The sequence below is a fragment of the Homo sapiens genome, chromosome 19, assembly GCF_000001405.40.
Source record: "Homo sapiens chromosome 19, GRCh38.p14 Primary Assembly".
Lineage (NCBI taxonomy): Eukaryota > Metazoa > Chordata > Mammalia > Primates > Hominidae > Homo > Homo sapiens.
The window spans coordinates 10388363-10411885 of NC_000019.10; the positions used below are offsets into that span (position 1 = coordinate 10388363).

The 23523-nt window shown below is 53.9% G+C and overlaps 1 protein-coding gene and 1 non-coding gene across 2 annotated transcripts, besides 6 other annotated features; both read right to left on the reverse strand.

The window, feature by feature from the left end:
* Positions 393-893: an enhancer, noted in NCBI's record as "H3K4me1 hESC enhancer chr19:10499431-10499931 (GRCh37/hg19 assembly coordinates)". NCBI's record gives its function as "activates a minimal SCP1, AML or CMV promoter by ChIP-STARR-seq in naive H9 embryonic stem cells {active_cell/tissue: H9 hESC(naive)}" and the evidence as "EXISTENCE:reporter gene assay evidence [ECO:0000049][PMID:30033119]".
* Positions 473-532: an enhancer, noted in NCBI's record as "active region_13964". NCBI's record gives its function as "activates an Ori minimal core promoter by ATAC-STARR-seq in GM12878 lymphoblastoid cells {active_cell/tissue: GM12878}" and the evidence as "EXISTENCE:reporter gene assay evidence [ECO:0000049][PMID:35858748]".
* On the reverse strand, positions 2771-15180 carry CDC37 (cell division cycle 37, HSP90 cochaperone). The gene is made up of 8 exons (NM_007065.4): positions 15016-15180; positions 7566-7841; positions 7073-7181; positions 6866-6981; positions 6659-6781; positions 4897-5079; positions 4724-4795; positions 2771-3344 (listed from the first exon to the last, which is right to left on the reverse strand). Exons 1-8 carry the CDS (start codon positions 15115-15117, stop codon positions 3189-3191), a joined length of 1137 nt encoding a protein of 378 aa, NP_008996.1. The 5' UTR covers positions 15118-15180; the 3' UTR covers positions 2771-3188.
* Positions 14896-14955: a silencer, noted in NCBI's record as "silent region_10066". NCBI's record gives its function as "represses an Ori minimal core promoter by ATAC-STARR-seq in GM12878 lymphoblastoid cells {active_cell/tissue: GM12878}" and the evidence as "EXISTENCE:reporter gene assay evidence [ECO:0000049][PMID:35858748]".
* On the reverse strand, positions 15096-15176 carry MIR1181 (microRNA 1181). Its single transcript, NR_031592.1, has one exon. It is a non-coding gene; the product is annotated as a microRNA 1181 (primary transcript).
* Positions 15356-15705: an enhancer, noted in NCBI's record as "active region_13965". NCBI's record gives its function as "activates an Ori minimal core promoter by ATAC-STARR-seq in GM12878 lymphoblastoid cells {active_cell/tissue: GM12878}" and the evidence as "EXISTENCE:reporter gene assay evidence [ECO:0000049][PMID:35858748]".
* Positions 16666-16715: a silencer, noted in NCBI's record as "silent region_10067". NCBI's record gives its function as "represses an Ori minimal core promoter by ATAC-STARR-seq in GM12878 lymphoblastoid cells {active_cell/tissue: GM12878}" and the evidence as "EXISTENCE:reporter gene assay evidence [ECO:0000049][PMID:35858748]".
* Positions 20709-20818: an enhancer, noted in NCBI's record as "active region_13966". NCBI's record gives its function as "activates an Ori minimal core promoter by ATAC-STARR-seq in GM12878 lymphoblastoid cells {active_cell/tissue: GM12878}" and the evidence as "EXISTENCE:reporter gene assay evidence [ECO:0000049][PMID:35858748]".

Consider the following 23523-nt stretch of genomic DNA (forward strand, 5'->3'; position numbering starts at 1 on the left):
CCAGCCTGGGCGACAGAGTGAGACTCAGTCTCACAAAATACAAACAAAATCTTCAATAACAAGGAATGCAGTATTTTGAAAAACTGAAATTAACACCAAAATGTGTATGATGAACAAAAATTATTATTATTATTATTATTTTTGAGACGGAGTCTCACTCTGTTGTCCAGGCTGGAGTGCAGTGGCGCGATCTTGGCTCACTGCAACCTCTGCCTCCCGGGTTCAAGCGATTCTCCTGCCTCAGCTTCCCGAGTAGCTGGGATTACAGGCACGTGCCACCACGCCTGGCTAAGTTTTGTATTTTTTGTACAGACGGGGTTCCACCATGTTGGTCAGGCTGGTCGCGGACTCCTGACCTTGTGACCCGCCCTCCTCGGCCTCCCAAAGTGCTGGGATTACAGGCGTAAGCCACCGCGCCCCGCTCAAAAATTAAAATTTTTACTCGGCAGGGCACACTGGCCTGTAGTCCCAACACTTTGGGAAGCTGAGGCGAGCAGACTGCTTCAGCTCTGTTCAAATCCAGCCTGAACAACATGGAGAGAACCCTGTCTCTGAAAAATAAATAAATAAAAAGATCTTGGAAGGTGTCTGAGGCTCAATCAGGGTTCCAGGAGTCCCCCTGCAGCTCCTACCTGTCGTTCTCACTCATACAAAACACTAAGGAAAGTTACTAGATTTGCAGCTCACTCCTGCCCCCTGGTGGTGATCGGCTTGGGCACAACAGCATTCCAGGGGTTTTTATCCAATGCTTTTGCAAATGTTTCCTGAAGGTCCCCTTTCTGGCACTGTGTATGTTGCAAGAAAAAGTCCGTGCTCTGGTGGCACCCACAGTACATGGGAGGTGACAATACACAGGTCTGTGTGAAGAAAGGCATGTGAGGCAGGTTTGGTGGCTGAGCATGAGGGGAATTAAAGTAGGTCAAGGAGGGCCTCAGAGAAGTGGCATTGATCTGTGGTCTGAGTGACAAGCAGTCCCCTCAGAGATGATGTCCCCCAGGAGAGGTAGGCATAAGTCTACTGGATCGGAGGTATTTCATGTCTTAAACTGATGTGAACCTGGGTATTTATTGTACTTTGATCTTAGCTCACTGCAGCCTTGACCTCCCGGGCTCAAGCAATCCTCCTGCCTTAGCCTCCCAAGTATCTGTAACTACAGGTGCGCCCCACTGCGCCCAGCACTGTTTTTTTTTTTTGTTGTTGTTGTTGTTTTTGAGATAAGTCTTTGTCACCCAGGTTGGAGCGCAGTGGCGTGATCCTGGCTCACTGCAACCTCCACCTCTCAGGTTCAAGCAGTTCTCCTGCCTCAGCTTCCTGAGTAGCTGGGACTACAGGCACGTGCCACCATACCTGGCTAATTTTTGTGTTTTTAGTGCAGACTGGGTTTCACCATGTTAGCCAGGCTGGTCTTGAACTCCTGGGCTCAAGTGATCCTCCTGCCTCAGTCTCCCAAAGTGTTGGGATTACAGGTGTGAGCCACGCCTGGCCGTGCACTCTTCTTTAAGACTTTTCCTGTGGCAGAAATATTTTGTGACTTTTGAAGACGGCCAGCAAGTGCCAAGGTCCCCGTTCAGAGAATCTGAGTGCCAGGTGCCAGTTGTCTGAACCATTACCTCACTTGTCCCCCTCACTACGGCCTGAGGAGGGCACTAGCGCGACGACGTTAGCCCTAAGAGCAGGGACACTGAGGCTCAGCGCATCACCCAAAGCCACACGAAGAGAAATTTCAAGTGCTCAAGGGCCAGCATGGAGTTGGGGACAACAGGGCAGCGAGGCAACAGGCAGATGGTGCTGGGGGCCTGGTCAGTTGCAGGGAGGACTTCGGCTTCTGCTCCCAGGGAGGGGAGTCCTGCGAGGCTTTTGAGCAGAGGTGGGACATGCCCTGACCTGGGTGTTCACAGGTACCCTCTGGCTGCTGCCTGTTCAGGGGCTGACTTGTAGTGGGGAATGAGGAGGAGGCTGGGGCAGGAATTAGAGCCAGAGGCGATGGGGACCTGAAGGCCATAGGGACAAAAGGCAGTGGTCAGAATCAAGAATGTTTGGGGGGGTGGGGCCAAGTGCAGCGGCTCACACCTGTAATCCCAGCACTTTGGGAGGCCAAAGTGGGAGGATCACCTGAGGTCAGGAGTTCAAGACTAGTGTGGCCAATATGGTGAAACCCCATGTCTACTAAAAACACAAAAAATTAGCCGAGTGTGGTGGCGGGTGCCTATAATCCCAGCAGGAGGCTGAGGCAGGAGAATCACTTGAACCTGGGAGGTGGAGGTTGTAGTGATCCGAGATTCCACCACCGCACTCCAGCCTGGGTGATAGCTGGACTCTCAAAAAAAAAAAAAAAAAAAAATCTGTTTGGGGGCAGCGCTGGCCATAGGGTGGGGAGATATAGTCCATCCAGGATGCTGCTCCAAAAGGTTGTAGGAAGCTGGAAAGGTGTGGGGTGCGGGCAGGTGCGCCAGATCCACAAAACCCTAGGGAATGTGACTTGGTTTGCAGATCACTACTGCCCTCTGGTGGTGATCAGCTTGGGCCACCCTGCATTCTGGAGGTCCAAGTAGGGACAAGGGAGTGGGTGGGTGAGACTGAAGGTTGGGGGCTTTTGAGGCCTCTGGAAGAAGACTGTTCCAAGTTGTGGAACAGCATGTGTGAGGCGAGGACCCACGATGGCTGGTGGGCAAAGGACCAGAGAAGCACAGCTCAGCCCCCAATATCCCACCAAGTTTCCCTCCCACCTACAAGAGATGGGCTGCCTGAACGGCCCTCCCAGCAGCCCAGAGAGCATCTGAAATCTTTTATTGGAAGATCATTGCTGTTTGCCAAATAGAAGACACAGACAGCAGACGAACAGTGAAAACAGAGCCCAGTGACGAGAGCCGGCCCCTTGGCTGGGGACCCTCCCCAACTACCTGGTAGACCAGCCTGGTGACCTCTGCCCTTCCCCGGACCCCCGGGCCTTTGGCATAATGCTGATGGGGGGCTGCAGGCAGTGAAGCCCCTTGACTCAAAGCAGAGACTTGAATGGGCGCTGGAGAGTGGAGACAGTGGAGAGGCCAGGGAGGGCTGGGCGGGCCCCCCAGGCTGGGCCGAGCAGCGCAAGTAGAGGAAGTCAGGAGCGGGCGAGATGGCATCTATCTGTTTTCTGAAAAGGGGCACATAGGGGCCTGGAAGCAGGTGGCGGTGGTAGCTGGGGCAGGTCACACACTGACATCCTTCTCATCGCCCGTCTTGGGAACAGCTTCCAGTAATGGGTCCCCAGGACCTGCCTCCTCTCCCTCCTTGGCCTCGCTGGCCTTAGAGTTGGGGACCCAGAGGCCAGAGTCAATGCAGCGCTGCATGTGGTACTTTGCGTCCTGTGAGGAGAAGGCAGGCAGATGAGGTGGGGCCGCCAGCCGGTGGTCCCCGTTGTCCCCGTTGTCCCTTGCACATCCCCAAGCTGGCTTCCTGCCTATTGATATTTTACCTATTTGAGACGGAGTCTCACTCTGTCACCCAGGCTGGAGTGCAGTGGTGCAATCTCGGTTCACTGCAACCTCCACCTCCCAGGTTCAAGTGATTCTCCTGCCTCAGCCTCCCAAGTAGCTGGGGTTACCGACGCCTGTCACCATGCCTGGCTAATTTTACTTTTAGTAGAGATGGGGTTTTGCCATGTTGGCCAGGCTGGTCTTGAACTCCTGCCCTTAGGTGATCTGCCTGCCTTGGCCTCCCAAAGCACTGAGATTACAGGCGTGAGCCACCGTACCCAGCTGGAAATTTAAATTTTATTTAACTTTAATTTAAATTTAGATAGTGCAATCTAGAACAAAAGCCAGCAAATTTTTTTTTGGTAAAGGGACAGACTAAATATTTCTGGTTCCGTGAGCCATATGGTCTCCATCACGACTCAACTCTGCTGTGGTAGAGCAAGATCGGTTGTAGATGATAGGGAAACAATTGAGTGTGGCTTCTTTGTTCTAATAAAACTTTATTATAAAGACAGGCAGTGAGTCTGGGAGCTGCGGTTTGCAGAACCTGGTCTAGATGGCTATGCCCATAGAAGCTTCTAGAAACTCAGGGCCAGTCCTGCAGCTAGACCCATTTTACAGACGAGAAAACCAGTGTGATCAACCAGTGAGCCAAGTGGTAGGAATAGGATCAAACAGTGTCCTACTTAGATTCAACGTCTATTACCACTTCCAAAAATATAGCCAGTGAGACCTTGTCTTTATAAAAACATAATTTAAAAAAAAATTAGCTAGATGTCATGGTGTCAGCCTGTAACCCCAGCTACTTGGGGAGGCTGAGGTGGGAGGATCACTTGAGCCTGGGAGGTCGAGACTGCAGCCTGGGTGAGAGAGGAAGACCCTGTCTCTCAAAAACAAGTAGACAAAATCCAATTAACAGCCAGCGTTTACCAGCCCCTGCCATGTGCTCACCTCCCTTTCCCACGCATTTTGTGAGCTGATATTGAGAGAAAATGTGGTTTGGATAAGGAAACTGAGGCTGGACTCAGTCACAGTAACAGTGACAGTCACGAAGGACATGCGCTCAAAGCTCAGCATTTATCTGCTGGATACTGGGATACAGTAGGTGCTCAATATATGTGGGTGTGTGCCAAGGTGACACGACCCCCCTTACTCCTTGGAGAAGCCTTGGAGGGGCACTTTCACCAGCCGGCTTCAGAGACTTGGGACACAGGGCTGGGGGAGACACACGGCCCGCCGGGAAGGCATGGGGCGCGGGGGTTACTCACGGTGGGGTCCATCTTGCTGATGGCGTCCTGCAGCATCTGCACGTCCTTCACATCGAAGCACTTCTGGAGTTCCTGGGGGTACAGAGGGGCTGGGGTCAGGGGCTGGGTCCCTGTGGCCCTGGGGGGTCCCGCTCAGGGTCTTCCTGCTGCCCGCCTGGGCCGGGGAGCCCCACCTCAGGGAGGGACTCGTAGACCTCGACGGGGTCCAGGCCGCCGGGGCCGAGCCGCTTCTTGCGCTCCTCCTCCTCGTACTCCTTCATGGCCTTCTCGATGCGCAGCTTGGCACGGCCCCGCACACGCTCCTTGAAGGCTTCCAGCTCGTCGTTGAAGCCCTCCATGTACTGGCGATCGGCTGTCTATGGGGGTTGGGCAGTGCTCACTGGACCTGGCCCAACGCTCAGGAGGGACTGGGGGGCCCAGGACCCTCCAGCCACAGCTCCTCAGAGGCGCCCCACGGTTCCCCAAGTCTATTCCTGACCTACATGAAGGGCTCCCCAAGGCCTGGGCTCCCCCGCCGGGGACCTCATCTGGCATTTGCCAAAGACCACCTGCTTGGGAGCCCTGCTCTACTGCAGATCTGAGACACTCATGTCCTCAGTGTCCCTGCATGGGCACCTCTAACTCAACATGGCCACCTCCCAGCCTGCCTTGTCCTTGGTCTCCCTAATCTCGGTAAGGATAGCCCTGTTCCTCCAGGTACGCAGGTTAAAAATCCTAGAGGCTAGGCCGGGCGCGGTGGCTCACGCCTGTAATCCCAGCACTTTGGGAGGCCGAGGCGGGCGGATCACGAGGTCAGGAGTTCGAAAACATCCTGGCTAACACGGTGAAACCCCGTCTCTACTAAAATACAAAAAATTAACCGGGCATGGTGGCACATGCCTGTAGTCCCAGCTACTCAGGAGGTTGAGGCTGGAGGATCGCTTGAACCCAGGAGGCGGAGGTTGCAGTGAGCCGAGATCGTGCTACTGCACTCCAGCCTGGGCAACAGAGTGAGACTCCATCTCAAAAAAAACAAAACAACAACAACAAAAAAACCCTGAGGCTGGCAGGCACCTGTAATCCCAGCTACTTGGGAGGCTGAAGCACTAGAATTGCTTGAACCCGGGAGGCAGGGGTTGCAGTGAGCTGAGATCACGCCACTGCATTCCAGCCTTGGTGACAGAGCAAGACTCTGTCTCAAAAATGAACTAAAACCCAAAACCCTAGAGGCACCCTCACCTTTGTCCTTTACCCACATATTCACCTGGGTACCTTCAGCACATCCTACTGCTCCCACATTTTTTTGTAATGCAGTTTTGCTCTGTCACCCAGGCTGCAGTGCAGTGGCAAACCACAGCTCAAACTCCTGAGCTCAAGTGATCCTCCTGCCTCAGCCTCCCAAATAGTTGGGACTATAGTACTCAGTCACCAAGCCTGGCCTGACCTCCACTTTTATTTAATTAATTAATTTATTTATTTATTTATTTTTGAGATGGAATTTCGCTCTTGTTGCCTAGGCTGAAGTGCAATGGCACGATCTCGGCTCACAGCAACCTCTGCCTCCCAGGTTCAAGCGATTCTCCTGCCTCAGCCCCCCGAGTAGCTGGGATTACAGGCACACACCACCATGCCCGGCTAATTTTGTATTTTCAGTAGAGATGAGGTTTCTCCATGTTAGGCTGGTCTCAAACTTCCAACCTCAGGTGATCTGCCCACCTCAGCCTCCCAAAGTGCTGGGATTACAGGCGTGAGCCACTGCGCCCGGCCTCCACTTTTAAAGTCTGGCAGAATCTGCCCACTTCTCTCCTCCTCCCTGGCCCCACCCTCTCCTGATCTAGGATGCGGTGACTGGAGGGGCTTGAGTCCCAGTGGAGAGGAGTCGGCCTTACCTAGAGCATTGTGGGCTGGTTCCCTGGGGAGGGGGCCTCCAGCCACCTGGCAGCTCAGGGACCCTACCTTAATCTTAGTGAAGAACTGCCGGAAGCAGGCCCGGGGGTCCACCTTTAGGCTCTTGGCCAGCTCCAGGATAAATTGCATGACGATTGTCTGGTGGGCCACCTGCTCCATGAGTGCACATTTCTGCCAGGAAGAACAGGCACAGCGTCACCAAGTGGCGGCCTCATGGCAGCGCCTTTTCACAGTCCCGGGGAAAGCTCCACTCACCTCCTCCACCTCTAGGTCAATGCACCAAATGACCAGGTAATTGGCTGTCTCCTCGCACACCAGGTGGACGTTGTCTGACAGGTACTTTTGGCTGTCATCCCAGCGGCGAAGCATGCCTGTGGGAAGATGCTGGCAAGGTGCTGGAGGGCCCTGGAGGCAAAGGGCCTGCCTCGACCTTGCCCCCCATAACCCACAAGCCCCACTCACCAAAGTGCTTGATCTGTTTCTCGTATTTTTCCACGAAGGTCTTGTGTTTCTGCTCCCTCACCTCCTCTGAGTCCTCCTCCGTCTTCTCGGGCTTGGTATTTACCATGCTCTGTGGTAGGGTGAGAGGGGGAGTGGGCTGGGGCAAGGCTGCGGAGCGCCTCGAGCGCGGCCGGGCGGGCCGTGGTCGCAGCGCCCATCCCATCCACGGCGGAGGTGGTGACGAAGCCATGAGCATCAAGGTGGCGGGAGCGTGGGCATGGGCCTTGGGGCAGATCAGAGGAGGGGACCGGTGGGGTGTTTCATCCGCCCGGCCCCCCAAGCCTGTCCCCCCTCCCACGTGGCCCCCGTCCATCCCTCAGCTCCCCGCCCCCCACCACACTCTTCAACTACACCACCGGGGTCCTCCCCTGACCAGGCATTGGGTGCGCATGCGTCCTGGTTGCAGGCTCTCTGGCTGCGCATGCGCACTGCCCGCCCCGCCCGCCCCGCACACCTTGCTGAAGCCGTCTTTGCTGAGCGTGTCCACGTTCCAGGGCATGCTCTTCTCCTTCTTGCGCATCTCCTCCAGCTTCTGCTCCCAGCTCCGCTCCTCCTTGCGCAGCTGCTGTGCCTCGGCCTGCAGGCGCTCCAGCTCTGCCTTGCCGCCCTCGGCCACCTCCAGCTCCTTCAGTTTCCTCTGGCACTCGGCCACCTTGCGCTTGCACTCGCGGCAGCCCCTGTCCAGTTCCTCCTTCTCCTTCTGGAACTGCTCCATGCGTTCCACCCGGGCCTGCGGGCAGGGACGGCCTATCAACTCTGGGGAGTCGTCTGTCCCTTACCCCCGCCCCATACCCAATCCCTGCACCGGAGATGGCCCCAGGAAAAAGTACGCGTCCACCTCCCGTGCCCTGGTCTCCCAGCTTCCGCCCCTGCGCCCACAGGTGCCAGCGCACACCCAAGTGGGGTCAGGTCCCTCCGTCCTCTGCTCAGAACCCTGGCGGCTCCCATCTCACAGCAGAACCCAAGTTGTCACCACAGCCTACATGGGCCCTACACAATCTGCCTCGGCACCTCCCCTGGTAACTCTTCCTTCCAGCTACACCAGCCCCTCACTTTTCTCACCTTTTCTTGAGGCCATTTTTTTTGTTTAAGAAAACAAAACAAAACAAAACAAAAAACAGGGTCTCACTCTGTCGTCCAGGTCAGAGTGCAGTGGCCCAATGATGACATACTGCAGCCTCGACCTCCCTGGGCTCAGGCGATCCTCCCACCTCAGTCTCCCAAGTAGCTGGGACTACAGGTGTGCACCAGCACGCCCAGCTAATTTTTGTATTTTCAGTAAAGATGGGGTTTGCCATGTTGCCCAGGCTGGTCTTGAAGTCCTGGGTTCAAGCGATCCTTCCCTCTCGGCCTCCCAAAGTGCTGGGACTACAGGCGGGAGCTACTGCACTCTGCGGAGCCCACTTTTTTCTTGAACCTCAAGGCCTTCGCACTGGCTGTTCCAACTACTTGGAATGCTTTTCCTTCAGAGCCCCCCACAGCTGACTCCATGGCACCCGTGCCATCTGGGCTCCATGTTGCCTTAGCGAGGACCCCTTCCCCAACCACCTTCCTGATGATGGCAACTTCCCGCTGCCCCTGTCTGGAATTCCCTGCCTCCTCAACATCAGCAACCACTAACATCATATGACAATTATTTATCACGTTTTGGGTACTGCCCCCCTCCAATGAATGAAGCCCTGCTCTCTAAATATGGGAACGTGTTCGCCATTTTGTTCCCAGAACCAGGAACGTGGCCTGGTGCAAAGCACGGGCTCAGCAAATGCTTGTTTTTTTTTTTGTTTTTATTTTGTTCAGTTTTGTTTGAACAAGGTCTTGTTGTCATGCAGACTAGAGTGCAGTGGTGTGATAATGGCTCACTGCAGCCTTGATCTCCCAGGCTCAACCTGCCTCAACCCCAAGTAGCTGGGACTACAGGTGCACACAAACCACCAAGCCTGGCTTTTTTTTTTTTTTTTTTTTTTTGAGACGGAGTCGCCCAGGCTGGAGTGCAGTGGCGTGATCTTGGCTCACTGCAACCTCTGCCTCCCGTGTTCAAGCAATTTTCCTGCCTCAGCCTCCTTAGTAGCTGGGATTACAGGCACGCGCCACCACGCCTGGGTAATTTTGTATTTTTAATAGAGACGGGGTTTCTCCATGTTGGCTGGTCTTGAACTCCTGACCTCAAGTGATCCACCCACCTTGGCCTCCCAAAGTGCTGGGATTACAGGCATGAGCCACTGCACCAGGGCCCCTTCTAGATGTTTCTTTGTTCCACCCATAACCTTGCCCCAGGATCACTGCCAAGGCCCTCTTAGCTCTGTCTCCAGCCCAGCATGCCCTCCTGAGCCCCAGCTTGGTGTCTACCTGCTTCCCGCTCACCCCAGCCCCAGATGTCACTCCCCAGGCACTCCTCTTTCTCCTTATAACAGTGCCTCATCTCCTCAGGCTCCTGGTCCCCGCCTCACTCCCTGTCTCCCTCAGACCTCCATCTGGGCCCCATCGGATTGTACAGGCCTCTCCTGAGACCCCTGCGTGGCTCCACCATCACCTCTCCTGAACCTCAGTGGAGGCTGCTCTATCCAGAGCCACTAATCAAACCCTGAAACCCTGAAACGTGCCACCACCTTCAATTGCTGACCCTCTCCAATCCAGGCACAGCTGCCACCAGGGAGGCCTGTGAAGCCCATGCATTTGACCACGTGACCAGAGTCCTCCCCACTACATCTTGGGGGGTCTGAATTCAGATGGGACTTCTGATCCTGGCATCCTGGTCCTGGGTCCCAGGCAGATACTGGCCCTCATCGTTCCCCGAAAGTACGGGCTCTGTCTTGCCTCTTGGCCTCTGCATGTGCGGTTCCCTTACCTGCTTTTGCACCCAAAACTCAGCTTCAACAGAGCCTTCCCCAAATGCTCCCTGCCTGAGGCACCACTGATCCCTAAAGGACCTCCTGTGACCATCTGACGATGTGGTGAGGGTGCTGGAGGACAGCCTTGGGGCAACGGCCCCTGGGTCCTAGCCCACAGCCACCATGTACCGGCTGGGTATCCCGGGCCATCCCCTAACCTCCTGTAACCTCAGTTTCCTCATCTGTCAAACAGTCAACAATGCTGACTGCACAAGCTCATATTGGAAGAAACTAAGGAGATGATTAGAGTAAAATGTCCCGAGCCATGTGGGCCCTCAGCACGCACCCTTCCTGTACTGGCCAGGGTCATTACCATCTGTGCAAGAGAACAATCTCTCTCTCTCTCTGGGGACCACTCTGGGGCCTCAAAAAGGAAATGTCCTTCAAATGCTTAGTTTAATTTCTGGCCCAGAGTACACGCTCAATAACTGGGAGTGGTTGTTACTACATGGTCACAGCACCCGGCTGTGCCACTGACGGGAGATGGAACTTTGGCCATGTCACTGAAACCTTTCCCAGCCTTGGTCTTCCCCTCTGTGAAATGGAGTCTCACAGGATCGCCGTGAGAACTGAATGACTAACTCTATGGAAAATGCTTCCAAAACAGCCCTCAGTAGGTGTGTCCCACTGTTACCATCTCCGTCCTTGTCACTGCCACCTGAATGGTCTGCTGACTCATTCCTGTGCCTTATCTGAGGCTGTGTCCCCAGGTTCTAAGGCAGGGCCAGGCAGAGCTGGCCCCTACTCTAATACCCCAGGGGACTGACACAGCCAGCCTGAGCCTCGGATTCCCCTATATGTATAAGGGGTCAAGAAGGCCTACGTGGTCGAGCGTGGTGGCTCACTCCTGTAATCCCAACACTTTGGGAGGCCGAAGCGGGTGGATCACCTGAGGTCAGGAGTTTGAAACCAGCCTGGCCAACATGGTGAAACCCCGTCTCTCCTAAGAACACAAAAATTAGCCAGGCGTGGTGGCAGGCGCCTGCAATCCCAGCTACTCCAGAGGCTGAGGCAGAATCGCTTGAACCCGAGGCAGAAGTTGTAGTGAGCTGAGATCGCCCCACTGCACTCCAGCCTGGGCGACAGAGCATGACCCTGTCTGAAAAAAAAAAAAAAAAAAAAAAAAAGCTATACCTCATGAGATAAACAGCAGCTGCAGGCTGGGCACAGTGACCCATGCCTATAATCCTAGCACTTTGGGAGGCCGAGGTGGGAGGATCACTTGAGCTCAGGAATTTGAGACCAGCCTAGGCAACATAGTGAGATTCCATCTCTTAAAAAAAAAAAGTTGCTGGGTGTGGTGGCTCATGCCTGTAATCCCAACACTTTGGGAGGCCAGGCGGGCAGATCATGAGGTCAGGAGTTCGGGACCAGCCTGGCCAACATGGTGAAACCCCATCTCTACTTAAAAAATACAAAAATTAGCCGGGCATGGTGGCGCGCACCTGTAGTCCCAGCTACTCGGGAGGCTGAGGCAGGAGAATTGCTTGAACCTGGGAGGTGGAGGTTACAGTGAGCCGAGATGGCACCACTGCACTCCTGTCTGGGCAACAGAGTGAGACTCCGTCTTAAAAAAAAAAAAAAAAAAAAAAAAAGCAGCTGTGGCCTCTCCAACTCCCTTTCTCCACGATGGGCCTGTGTCACCCTGGAGCCTGCCCACCACCCTGCAATCCGCTGCTGGGCTGCCACCAGTCTCCCCTGTGTCCTCTGAACAACTGCCAGGGAGGCCGCAGCTAAAAAAGGCCTCTTGGAGTTGGCGGGGGCGGCAGCCTGCCCAGCCTGGGCTTTACACCTCCTATCGGGGAGGGGCTGTAGCAGGCTGGGCAGGGGAGAAGCCACCCCAGCAAGCAGGGCCCACAGATGTCACTACCCTCCTGCCTTACAGTTAGGGAAACTGAGGCTCACAGAATCTCAATGTCATACAACTCATTAGAAGAAACCACTAACAGCAGCTGTCTCTGGGCAGGAGAGCCGGCGAGCTGGGGCTGAGAAAAGGGATTCATTTGTCCGCTTCTGGAAACTTTGAAATTTTTTTTTTTAAGAGACAAGGTCTTAGGCCAGGCTTGGTGGCTCACACCTACAATCCCAGCACTTTGTGAGGCTGAGGCAGGTGGATTGCCTGAGCTCAGCAGTTTGAGACCAGCCTGGGCAACATGGTGAAACCCTGTCTCTACCAAAAAGTACAAAAATCAACCAGGCATGGTGGTGTGTACCTGTGGTCCCAGCTACTCAGGAGGCAGAAGTAGGAGGATCACTTGAGCCCGGAAGGTGGAAGTTGCAGTGAGCTGAGATGGCGCCACTGCCATCTCAGGGTGACAAAGCAAGGCCCTGTCTCGAAAAAAAAAAGAGAGAGACAAGGTCTTGCTATGTTGCTCAGGCTGGACTTGAACTTCTGGGCTCAAATGATCCTTCTGCCTCAGTCTCCTGAGTAGCTAGGACTATAGGCATGTGCCACCACATGTGGCTACAGATTTTTTTTTTTTTAACCATGAACAGAAATTATTTAAATGATGATGATGATAATAGCCACTGCCCCAAAAGGATTACAAATATTAAATGAATAAGGTAAGCCTTACAACAACCTTATGGGGTGGACATCATTCAGATTCTCAGGTAGGGAAACTGAGGCACAGAGCGATCAAACAGCTCCCTGGCAGTCACGCAGCACGTGAGTGATACAGACAGAGCTGAGATTTGAACCTAGTCAGGCCTGTGCTCTGAACGACAGCAATCTCTCCTTCCCCTCCACAATGCTTCCTTCCAAACCTGCCCCAAGTTTTCCTGACCCAGTCTTAATTCATTCTTACAAAGGTCTCAGGGAGGTGGGGCCATATTATCCCAGGTTTCACATGGGCTCAGGGAGGCTTCTTGTGAGTCTTGCCACATCAAAGAAAGAAAGAAGCAGCAAGAGGTGGGGCTAGGATTGGAACCCAAGCTTGCCTGTCCTTGAACCTGTGCTGGAGACGCTGAAGCCCCCTGCCTCCCTTACATGCCACTACAACCACCGGGGTTCTCAGCGGCAGGACAGGAAAAGCTCTGTGCCAGAGGGAGGAGGGTGTGGCAGGTACACTACGCTGCAGGAGGGGGGCCCTCCCACCCGGCAGGACCAAACCATTCTCCACAGTAGTAAAGATTAACCTCTTTATGTGACAGAAATAGGTCTTCCCAAGAATAGTCTTTGGAGCTTTGAGGAAGTCTTAAATATTTCATAATAAAATGTTACACACGGCAAGAAATAGAAGCGCTAGAACTTTCTTCCCACACTCCAGTGGCTTGCTTGGCAGGTACACTACCCAGGAGACTCAGGATTTAAGGAATAGGTCTGGAAGTGGGACTGGGAGCTAGATGAAGAGACTAATGCCGTATTCCAGAGTATTCTGGAAGGATGGGAAAGGGACCTTCTAGTTGTTTCTGGATAAATGATGGGGAATTGCCCTATGGGAGGGTGGGGTAAGAGATCCTCACTAGAAGGTTCTGAGAGGTATATGCCCTTCGTTTAAGAGCACAACATGGCTGGGTGCGGTGGCTCACGCCTGTAATCCCAGCACTTTGGGAGGCCGAGGTGGGTGGATCAACTGAGGTCGGAAGTTCAAGACCAGCCTGACCAACATGGAGAAACCCTGTCTCTACCAAAAATACAAAATTAGCCAGGCATGGTGGTGCATCATGCCTGTAATCCCAGCTACTCAGGAGGCTGAGGCAGGAGAATCACTTGAACCCGGGAGGCAGAGGTTGCAGTGAGCCAAGATTGTGCCACTGCACTCCAGCCTGGGCGACAAGAAGGAAACTTCGTCTCAAAAAAAAAAAAAAAAAAAAAAAAAGGAATACAACAGACACTGGTATGTAATGCAGGCACACTCATTTGGGGTAGCAGGAGGTTAAACCTTTAAGTCTTAGTCATCCCATTGGCTCGTGAGCACTGAGAGGGTGGTGGGACATGGATCACCCAGGCTTGGGATTCTGGGGTCTGGATTCGGGACCTCTGTTGTGGTCAGATAGAAGAAGGGGTGGTGAATTTAGAATCAGACCAGGAGAGTCCCTGGATAAGAGCAGGGACAATTTGGGTCACAGAGTAGCTAACAGGCTGGGGACAAAAGGTGGGGTGGGTTTGGGGTTCTGGGCTTGAGTTAGGGGAGAGTTTCCAATGCTGGCTGAGGCTCATACAGGAAGCCAGTCTGGGAAGTGGGTGGTGACAGGGTCTGCAATACCAAGTAGGAGCAGGGGCTCTGGCTAGGCCGGAAGCCACGTGGGCAGGATTTCCTGGTATAATGGGAAATGGGTCTACCGGAGGCCAAAGGAGAGGCTGGAATGTGAGGCTCTATCGGGTTGGAGCTGGTAGTTAGATCCAGAGGGGAACCAGATTCCAAAACCCAAGTACTCGGTGAGACTAAGGATCCTGAAGGGGGACGGTTCTACACTCTAGGAAGGGGGTCCTGGGTGTGGGCAGGGACAGGAATATCAGAGTAGCACAGAGTTCCTTGTTCCGTTTAGAAAAGGAGTGGCGACTCCGGATCTGAATGGGAACCCCGGATCAAGATCCCGGAAAGTAGATCCCGGGACAGACCAAAGTATTGGGGGTCCAGACTACGGAGGTGGGGGGGCGATGGGAGATCCCAGATAGGAAGTGAATACCCGAATAGGATGAGGGATCATCTAGAAGAATTTGGGGTCCAAACTTTGAGGCAGAGTTCTGGGTATAAATGTTAACTGCCGAACAGAATTAGGGAGAACCCCCAAGACTCGTCTAGGGGACTCCAGACTATGAAGAAGTTCTAGGGGGTGAATAGGGAATCCCACGCAAAAATCGGAGCAGGGAGTGGGGGAGCGGAGATCCAGGGCAGGGACTCAGGGTCCCAATGGTACTGGGGTCCCGGAGTTGAATCGAAGCTCCTGAAAATCCAGACTGGGGGGGTGAGAATCCTAGGTGTGAACAGCGGGGTCCCTGGGCAGTATCGGGGATCACAACTCCGAAGCGGGGTCCGGGAGTGGGGAAAGGGATGGGCGCGCGCGCCTTACCTGATGCCGCCAGCGGAAGAGACTGGCCGTGTCGATGTTGGGGTGCGTCTCGTCTTCATCATCAGACACCTCAATGTGGTCCCACACGCTGTAGTCCACCATCTTGCCTTGGCGGCCCAGCCCGCTCCGGCTCGGGTGGCGGCGACGGCGGCAGCAGTGGAGACTAGGAGCGCGGAGCCCCGCCCCTTCCGCTTCCGCCGAGCGCGGGAAACCCCGCCCTGTGTGACGTCACATCCCTAGTAACCGCGGCAGCGGCACTAGCTACCCAGCCAGCCTTAAAGGGCCCTGCGTAAGTGTTCCGGCCCCCTGGAGTTCCCGCAGAGACTCCGCGTCATCGGGCGCTGGGGCTCCGCTAGGTCTCCTGGGGGCATATGAGTGCGCGCTTCAACTCCGAGCCCCCCTCATCTCCCGCCGCTCCACGGTGGGCGTTTGGGGTGGCAGGGAGGGGACGGTTGATGAGACTGAGAGGACTGTCCCCTCAGCCACGCCGCAGTGACGTCTGCAAGGGGTAGGGACACGGCGGGAAGGCCCTCCCCCTGCCCTTCGTAAACGGGGACCTAAGCCTGCGCTGGAGAGGGGCGCCTGATGACTCCTCGGACTTTCTCAGCCCGAGGAGGACTGGACCTGCCCTGGGGGTGTCTAAATCGGGGGTGGTATGGCCCTCCCCTTGCAGGGTTAAACGTGGAGGGGAGACTGTGGCCCTGCCTTGGGAGCTGGGGTTTCCCCGCCTCGGCAACAGCCTTCTCCTTGTCTTCCACCTCCTGCCATTCGCAGCGAGGACTCGCGCGAGCGCGCGCGCGCACACACACACACACACACACACACACGCACACACACACACACACACACTTTGGAATCACCCGGACCCCCTCAAAACGGGTCTCGGCTCCCCACCCCGCTGGCCGCTGGGTGTCGCTAGAGTCTAGCCCACGGCGCGTATTCCTGGCCCCGCGCTTGGTGGGGGGAATCGTGGAGGGGTGGAAGGGGGCTTTCCTTGTCGTCACAGTCTGGGGCCACGCATAGCCCCTCCCCGTTCGTCTTGGGGTACGCTTCCTCCGCCGGGGCTCTAAGGACTCCATTACTCTAAGCATGCAGGGCCTCGACCACCTCACACTTCCATGCATCCCAATCCACGCTTTGATACCAGGATAATAGGCCGTGTTGCAGCCTTGGGCCAGGATTATCTCAGATTAAAGGGTGCTCCCTCGGGGGTCAGGCTGGATAGGAGGAGCTCCAGCCACTCCGGTGAGGGGCGCCTCTTCCTAGTCTCCCCTGGAGCCGACGTTGGAGGCAGTGCCTGGAGAGAGCGAGCGAAGTTCTCCAGAAGGGGGAGGATTCCCCGGTGCATGGAGCGGGAAGGGCCATCGGACAAAAACGTCCTCCCGCTGCCGCCCTTCCCCCTCGCGCTTCATTCAAACCCGCGAGTGGGCGGGCAGGGGCGGGGGAGTCCCCATCTCCTACCCCTCCCTCTTCCCCTCCACCCTGGCAGTCCAGCACATCAGTGGCCGTCACGGCCCGGGCACGCGCGCGCACGGACCCACACCCCGGCGGCTCTCACAATCGCACACACACATACACACACACACCAGCAAACAAAGGGTCTGGACACCCCCGTCCCCTCCCGCCCCCCAGGCCAGGGAGGGCGGGGCATCCCCTCCCCAGGCCCCCCGCAAGGTAAGCTTGGGGCTGCGAGCTGCGGTGGGGAGGGGGACACGGTGCCACAGTGGGAGGGGGCCAGGAAGGTAGGGGGTTCCCCGGCTCCCCAGGAAAGTCGTACCCCCACCCCCACCGTATGCCCTTTAGGGATTCGGCCCCGTCATCAGCCTGGGGGTGTTTGGAGAGAATCCCAGATGTCGGGGATTCCCGGATAGGCGCGGGGGTCTCTTCCTGGCTCTGGAGACTGGAGCTGCCCAGCTTCAGCAAAACAGGGTTCCCGGAGCCTCAGCTTCCAGAACTGGGGATAGAGCGCCGGAAGCTTCCCCATCAACCCCAAGCATTTCCTAATCTGCCAGCACAGCACCTCCAGCCCTGGGGACTGAGGAGAGAGACCCCTAAGTTGCTTTGCACTGTCCCTCTGTCCCCGGTCCCCATCCCACCCCCATCGGTGCAAACCCTGCTATGTCTCTCCTGCCTGTGTGTGTGTGTGGGGGGGAGGTTTGCGGGAATTGGGAACGCTTTTTGGGGCTACCTTTGCTTCTTCTGCTACATCCCATAGCCACATACCACTGAGCTGCGGTGGGGCCCGGCAGGCGGCTTTGCCTTCCTGAGTCTCAATTTCCTCCTCTGCAAAGTGGGTAATGACACACACCTAGGATTCCGCGAAATCGTGCTCGCGGAGCCTGCTTTTGCGCCATCATTTTATTTATTAGCTCATTTCACATCTCTTTCCCAAGTGTCTACTTACGATGTACTGGGCACTGTGACCAGGCTTTGGGGCAGCAGCAACCAACAAACCCAGTAGGGGTCCCTGCTCCTGGCTAGTGAGGGAGCAGGATCCCTGTATAAACATACAAATCCCCGCGGGTGATTTCAGACTGTGAAGACTAAAATTCTGTCCTCGGACAGAGAGAGACTAGGGAAAGGCACTCAAGATTAAAGGAGAAGCTGGGCACAGTGGCTCACGCCTGTAATCCTAGCACTTTGGGAGGCCGAGGCAGGCGGATCACTTGAGGTCAGGAGTTCGAGACCAGCCTGGCCAACATGGTGAAACCCCATGTCTACTAAAAATACAAAAATTAGTCGGGCGTGGTGGCAGGCGCCTGTAATCCCAGCTACCCGGGAGGCTGAGGCAGAAGAATTGCTTAAACCCGGGAGGCGGTGGTTGCAGTGAGCCAAGATCACACCACTGCACTCCAGTTTGGGTGACAGAGCAAGACTCTGTCAGAAAAAAAAACAAAAAACAAAAAACAGATTAAGTAAGACTTCTGGATCCTGCCTGCCTTCCTCCTTGGGTCTGAGCTCATGAGGGCAGGATCAGGTCTAGAACAGTGCCTGGCACACAGTAGGTGCTCAATAAATGTTGAATGAGCGTGGCACCCTGGTGTGAGCCTGTAGTCCCAGCTACTCGGGAGGCTGGCTGGAGGATCCCAGCGACACCCATCTCTAAAAAAAAATAAAAACAAAAAATAAATCCTTAGCTGGGCATGGTGGCACACGCCTGTAGTCCCAGCTATTCAGGATGCTGAGGCAGGAGAATGGCTTGAACCCGGGAGGCAGAGGTTGCAGTGAGCTGAGATAGTGCCATTGCACTCCAGCCTGGGTGACAAGAGCAAAACTCAAAAAAAAGAAAATCTTAAATGAATTAAAGAGGGGATTAGTTTAAGACTAGATTCTAGAACTGTAGATTAGGAAGAAGGCTTAGCATAAACCAATCCACCCCACTCCCTTGAATTTGATACAGGAGACAGTGAATCCCAGAATGTCAACATTTCTACAAAATTGAAGATGGGCCCAGCACGATGGCTCACATCTGTAATCCCGATAATTGGGAGGCTGAGGTGGGAGGATCACTTGAGCCCAGGAGGTCGAGGCTGTAGTGAGCCATGATCACGTCACTGCACTTCAGCCTGGGAGACAGAGTGAGACTCTGCCTCACCAAAAAAAAAAAAAAAAAAAAAAAAGAAGGTGGTTAAAGCAAGGGTTGTGAACAGCTGTGGACAGAGACCAGAACTGAGCACTGTGTGCCCAGGAACTCATGGTGTCCAGCCAGTGCCCACTCTTCCCCACATAGCATATAGACACAGCACTGCTTTCATCTATTCAATATTTATTCAGCACCTACTATGTACCAGGTGCCAGGGACACAGCAATTAACAGAACAAAACTCCCTGCCCCAGTGGAGCTGACATTTAGTGGAGGAAACTGAAATGAAATAACATGATCAAAAAGATATAATGACACATTGTTATTAGGATACTGATAGAAATAGAGGGTGTGGCTGGGTGTTTAGAAAGACTTCCTGCAGAAGCTGAATTCAGCACACACACACTCAAACCCAAACATAATCCCACTAATACACATCACAGAAAAGTGGCCATGGGGACTGAGTGGCTGAGCAGAGATTTAAACCTGGAACCTGCATTTCTTTTTTCTTTCTCCTTTTTTTAACTAATTAATTTATTTATTATACTTTAAGTTCTGGGATACATGTACAGAACGTGCAGGTTTGTTACACAGGTATACACGTGCCATGGTGGTTTGCTGCACCCATCAACCTGTCATCTACATTAGGTATTTCTCCTAATGTTATACCTCCCCTAGCCCCCCACCCCCCAACAGGCCCCAGTGTGTGATGTTCCCCTCCTGGTGTCCATGTATTCTCATTGTTCAGCTCCCACCTATGAGTGAGAACATGCGGTGTTTGGTTTTCTGTTCTTGTGTTAGTTTGCTGAGAATGATGGTTTCCAGCTTCATCTATGTCCCTGCAAAGGACATGAACTCTTTTTCCTTCCTTCCTTCCTTCCTTCCTTCCTTCCTTCCTTCCTTCCTTTCTTTCTTTCTTTCTTTAATTGAGACAGAGTCTCACTCTGTCACGCCCAGGCTAGAATGCAGTGGCTCGATCTTGGCTAACTGCAACCTCTGCCTCCCGGATTCAAGTGATTCTCCTGCCTCAGTCTCCCGAGTAGCTGGGATTACAGGCACGCGCCACCACACCCAGCGAATTTTTTGTATTCTTAGTAGAGATGGGGTTTCACCATATTGGCTAGGCTGGTTGAAAACTCCCAACCTCAGGTGATCCGACCGTCTTGGCCTCCCAAAGTGCTCCCAATGAGCCACTGCGCCCAGCCCTCCTTTCTTTTTAAAGACAGGATCTTACTCTGTCACCCAGGCTGGAGTGCAGTGGCAATCGCAGCTCACTTGCAGCCTCAAACTCCTGGGCTCAAGCAACCCTCCTGCCTCAGCCTCCTGAGTAGCTGGGATTACAGGTGCACAGCACCACACATGGCTAATTTTTTTTTTCATTTCATTTTAAAGACGGGGTCTCCAAGAGTTGGAGGCTGCAGTGAGCTATGATCGCACCGCTGCATACCAACCCAGGCAACAGCAGGAGACCTGCCTCAAAAAAGAAAAGAAAAGAGATGGGGTGTCGCTATGTTGCCCTCACTGGTCTCAAACTGCTGGCCTCAAGCGATTCCCCTGCCTTGGCCTCCCAAAGTGCTGGGAATATAGGCGTGAGCTACTGCGCCCAGCCCCCGGAACCTGCATTTCTAGGCACTGTGAAATACTGTTTTCCGCTGCATCTTCACACAGTGACACCCCCACACACCTACACATTCATATTACAGTCACACAGGCACAGCCAACCTCTTATTCACATAGACCGATGTGGTATTGCCCTGACACATAGATTCCTGCGGGTACAATTCGGTTTCAACTATGCAACACTTAGACTCACAGAAGGTTCCACCAGCCCATTGGCACATGCACAGCCAGGTATGAAGTTCATGCACATATATGCATGTATTTGCACACACATGCCTGGAGTCCTTCACAATCCTTCCGAGACCTGCGTCAGCTTTGAGCATGGAGCTTGGGCAGCCGTGAATATTCAGGGCCATGGTGTGGGCAGGGGCTTTTATTCTCACTTCCCTGTTATTTGCTGCACATCGCCACATCCTTCTGTTGAAGGAAGTGGGGAGTGGGCGGGATGTCGGGCTGGGTGACATCAGCTCTCCTCTGCCAGGCCAGGCCAGTGGCTCCCAGGCTGGGCTGGTAGCTGACGGTGCTGACAACATGGGTGGGGGAAAAGGACTCTCGTGGCCTGAGCCTGATGCCAGCTGTCCAGAGCAGCCTGTGCTGCCATCTGGACCCCCATCTCCAGCGGCCTGCTGTCCAGGGAAGGAGAAGGCAGGCCTAGAGGCATCCCTCCACCCTGAGCACTCCCGGGCCCTGCCTCCCTCGCCTGGGCTGCAGCCAGGGCTGATTGCCGCAAATGTGCACTTGTGTCCTGACAGCAGTAAGGGGCATGTCTCTGCCTCTCTCGCCTGGCCGGCTGGACCCCTCCAACATCGTCTTCTTCATTGCTTTCTTCATTTCACAAATCCTTGAGACTTTGAGCAACAGAATTTGCAGAGCCTAGGGAAAATGCACACGCAGGGTTCCTCTTCAAGATTACAAACAATAGGCCGGGCGCAGTGGCTCACGCCTGTAATCCCAACACTTTGAGAAGCTAAGGCAGGGGAATTGCTTGAGGCCAGGAGTTTGAGACCAGCCTGGCCAACATGGCGAAACCCCGTCTCTACTGAAAATGCAAAAATTAACTGCGCGTGGTGGCAGGCGCCTGTAATCCCAGCTACTCAGGAGGCTGAGGCAGGAGAATCATTTGAACCCTGGAGGCGGAGGTTGCAGTGAGTCGAGATCACACCATTGCACTCCAGCCTGGATGACAAGAGCTAAACTCTGTCTCAAAAAAAGAAAAAAATTATAAGTCTAAGGCAAAGAAAACACAAGCAGGGCTGGGAGCGGTGACTCACGCCTGTAATCCCAGCACTTTGGGAGGCCGAGGTGGGTGGATCACGAGGTCAGGAAATCGAGACCATCCTGGCTAACATGCTGAAACCCCGTCTCTACTAAAAAAAAAACCAAAAAATTAGCTGGGAGTGGTGGCAGGCGCCTGTAGTCCCAGCTACTCGGGAGGCTGAGGCAGGAGAATGGTATGAACCCGGGAGGTTGAGGCAGCAGAATGGCGTGAACCTGGGAGGCGGAGGTTGCAGTGAGCTGAGATCGCGCCACTGCACTCCAGCCTGGGCAACAAAGCGAGACTCCGTCTCAAGGAAAAAAAAAAAGAAAGAAAAAGAAAAAGAAAACACAAGCAGAGTCAGGGGGATGGGAAAAGCAACAGGATATCTGAGGTCTGAATATGTTCTAGGTGTTTGAAGAACAACAAAGGGGCTGGTGGGTTGGCCAGACATGGTGGCTCACGCCTGTAATCCCAGCACTTTGGGAGGCTGAGGCAGGAGGATCACCTGAGCCAAGGAATTCCAGACCTGCCTGGGCAACATGGCAAGACACCCTCTCTACAAAAAATTTAAAAATTAACTGGGCGTTGTGGTGCTCACCTGTAGTCCCAGCTACTTGAGAAGCCGAGGCGAGAGGATCACTTGAGCCCAGGCGTTTAAGGCTACAGTGAGGTGTGATAACATCACTGCACTCCAGCCTGGGCAACAGAGTAAGACCCTTGTCTCTTAACAAAATGAAAATAGGCCGAGCACGGTGGCTTACTCCTGTAATCCCAGCACTTTGGGAGGCTGAGGCGGGCAGATCATGAGGTCAAGAGATTGAGACTATCCTGGCCAACATGGTGAAACCCCGTCTCTACTAAAAGTACAAAAATTAGCTGGGTGTGGTGGTGTGCACCTGTAGTCCCAGCTACTTGGGAGGCTGAGGCAGGAGAATCACTTGAACTCAGGAGGCAGAGGTTGCAGTGAGCTGAGATTGTGCCACTGCACTCTAGCCTGGCAACAGAACGAGACTGTCTCAATTTAAAAAAAAAAAGGGGAACAGAAATAAATTCACGTGCATTACTTCACTTCATCCTCACAACAACCCCATCAGATGGGTGTGAATATTATTCCTATTTTACAGATGACAAAACTGAGGGCCAGAGAGGCTGAGTAATTTGCTCTAAAGTATACAGACAGAGCTGAGAGATACTGTGAGTTGAGTTCTAGACTACCACAATAAAGCGAGTATCACAATAAAGTGATACAAAAAATTTTTGGTTTCCTAGTGCATGTAAAAATTATGCTGACACTATACCATATGTATATTAAGTATGCAATAGCATTATGTCTAAAACAACAATGCATATACCTTAATTTTAAAATACTTTATTAGCCTGGTCAACATAGTGAGACCTCATTTCTACGAAAAAAATTTAAAAATTAGCTGGGCATGTTGGTGCTCACCTGTGGTCCCAGCTACTTGGGAGGCTGAGGTGAGAGGATAGCTTGAGCCCAGGAGGACAAGGCTGCAGTGTGCTATGATCACAGCACTGCACTCCAGCCTGTGCAACGGAGTGAGACCCTGTCTCAAAAACAAAACAGAAAAACCTTAAAAACTTTATTGCTGCCCGGGTGTGGTGGCTCATGCTTATAATCCCAGCACTTTGGCTGAGGCGGGCAGATCACTTGAGCCCAAGGGTTTGACACCAGCCTGGCCAACATGGTGAAACCCCATCTCTACCAAAAAATACAAAAATTAGCTGGGCATGGTGGTGCACGCCTGTAGTCCCAGCTACTCCAGAGGCCGAGGCAGGAGAATCGCTTAAACCCCGGAGGCGGAGATTGCAGTGAGCCAAGATCACGCCACTGTACTCCAGCCTGAGCGATAGAGTGAGACCCTGTTTGAAAAAAAACCAAAAACAAAAACAAAAAAACCTTTCTTGCTAAGAAAAGCTAACCATCATCTGAGCCTTCGGCAAGTCATAATCTTTTTCCTGGTGGAGGGTCCTGCCTCAATGTTGATGGCTTCTGACTGATGAGGGTGGTGGTTGCTGAAGGTTGGGGT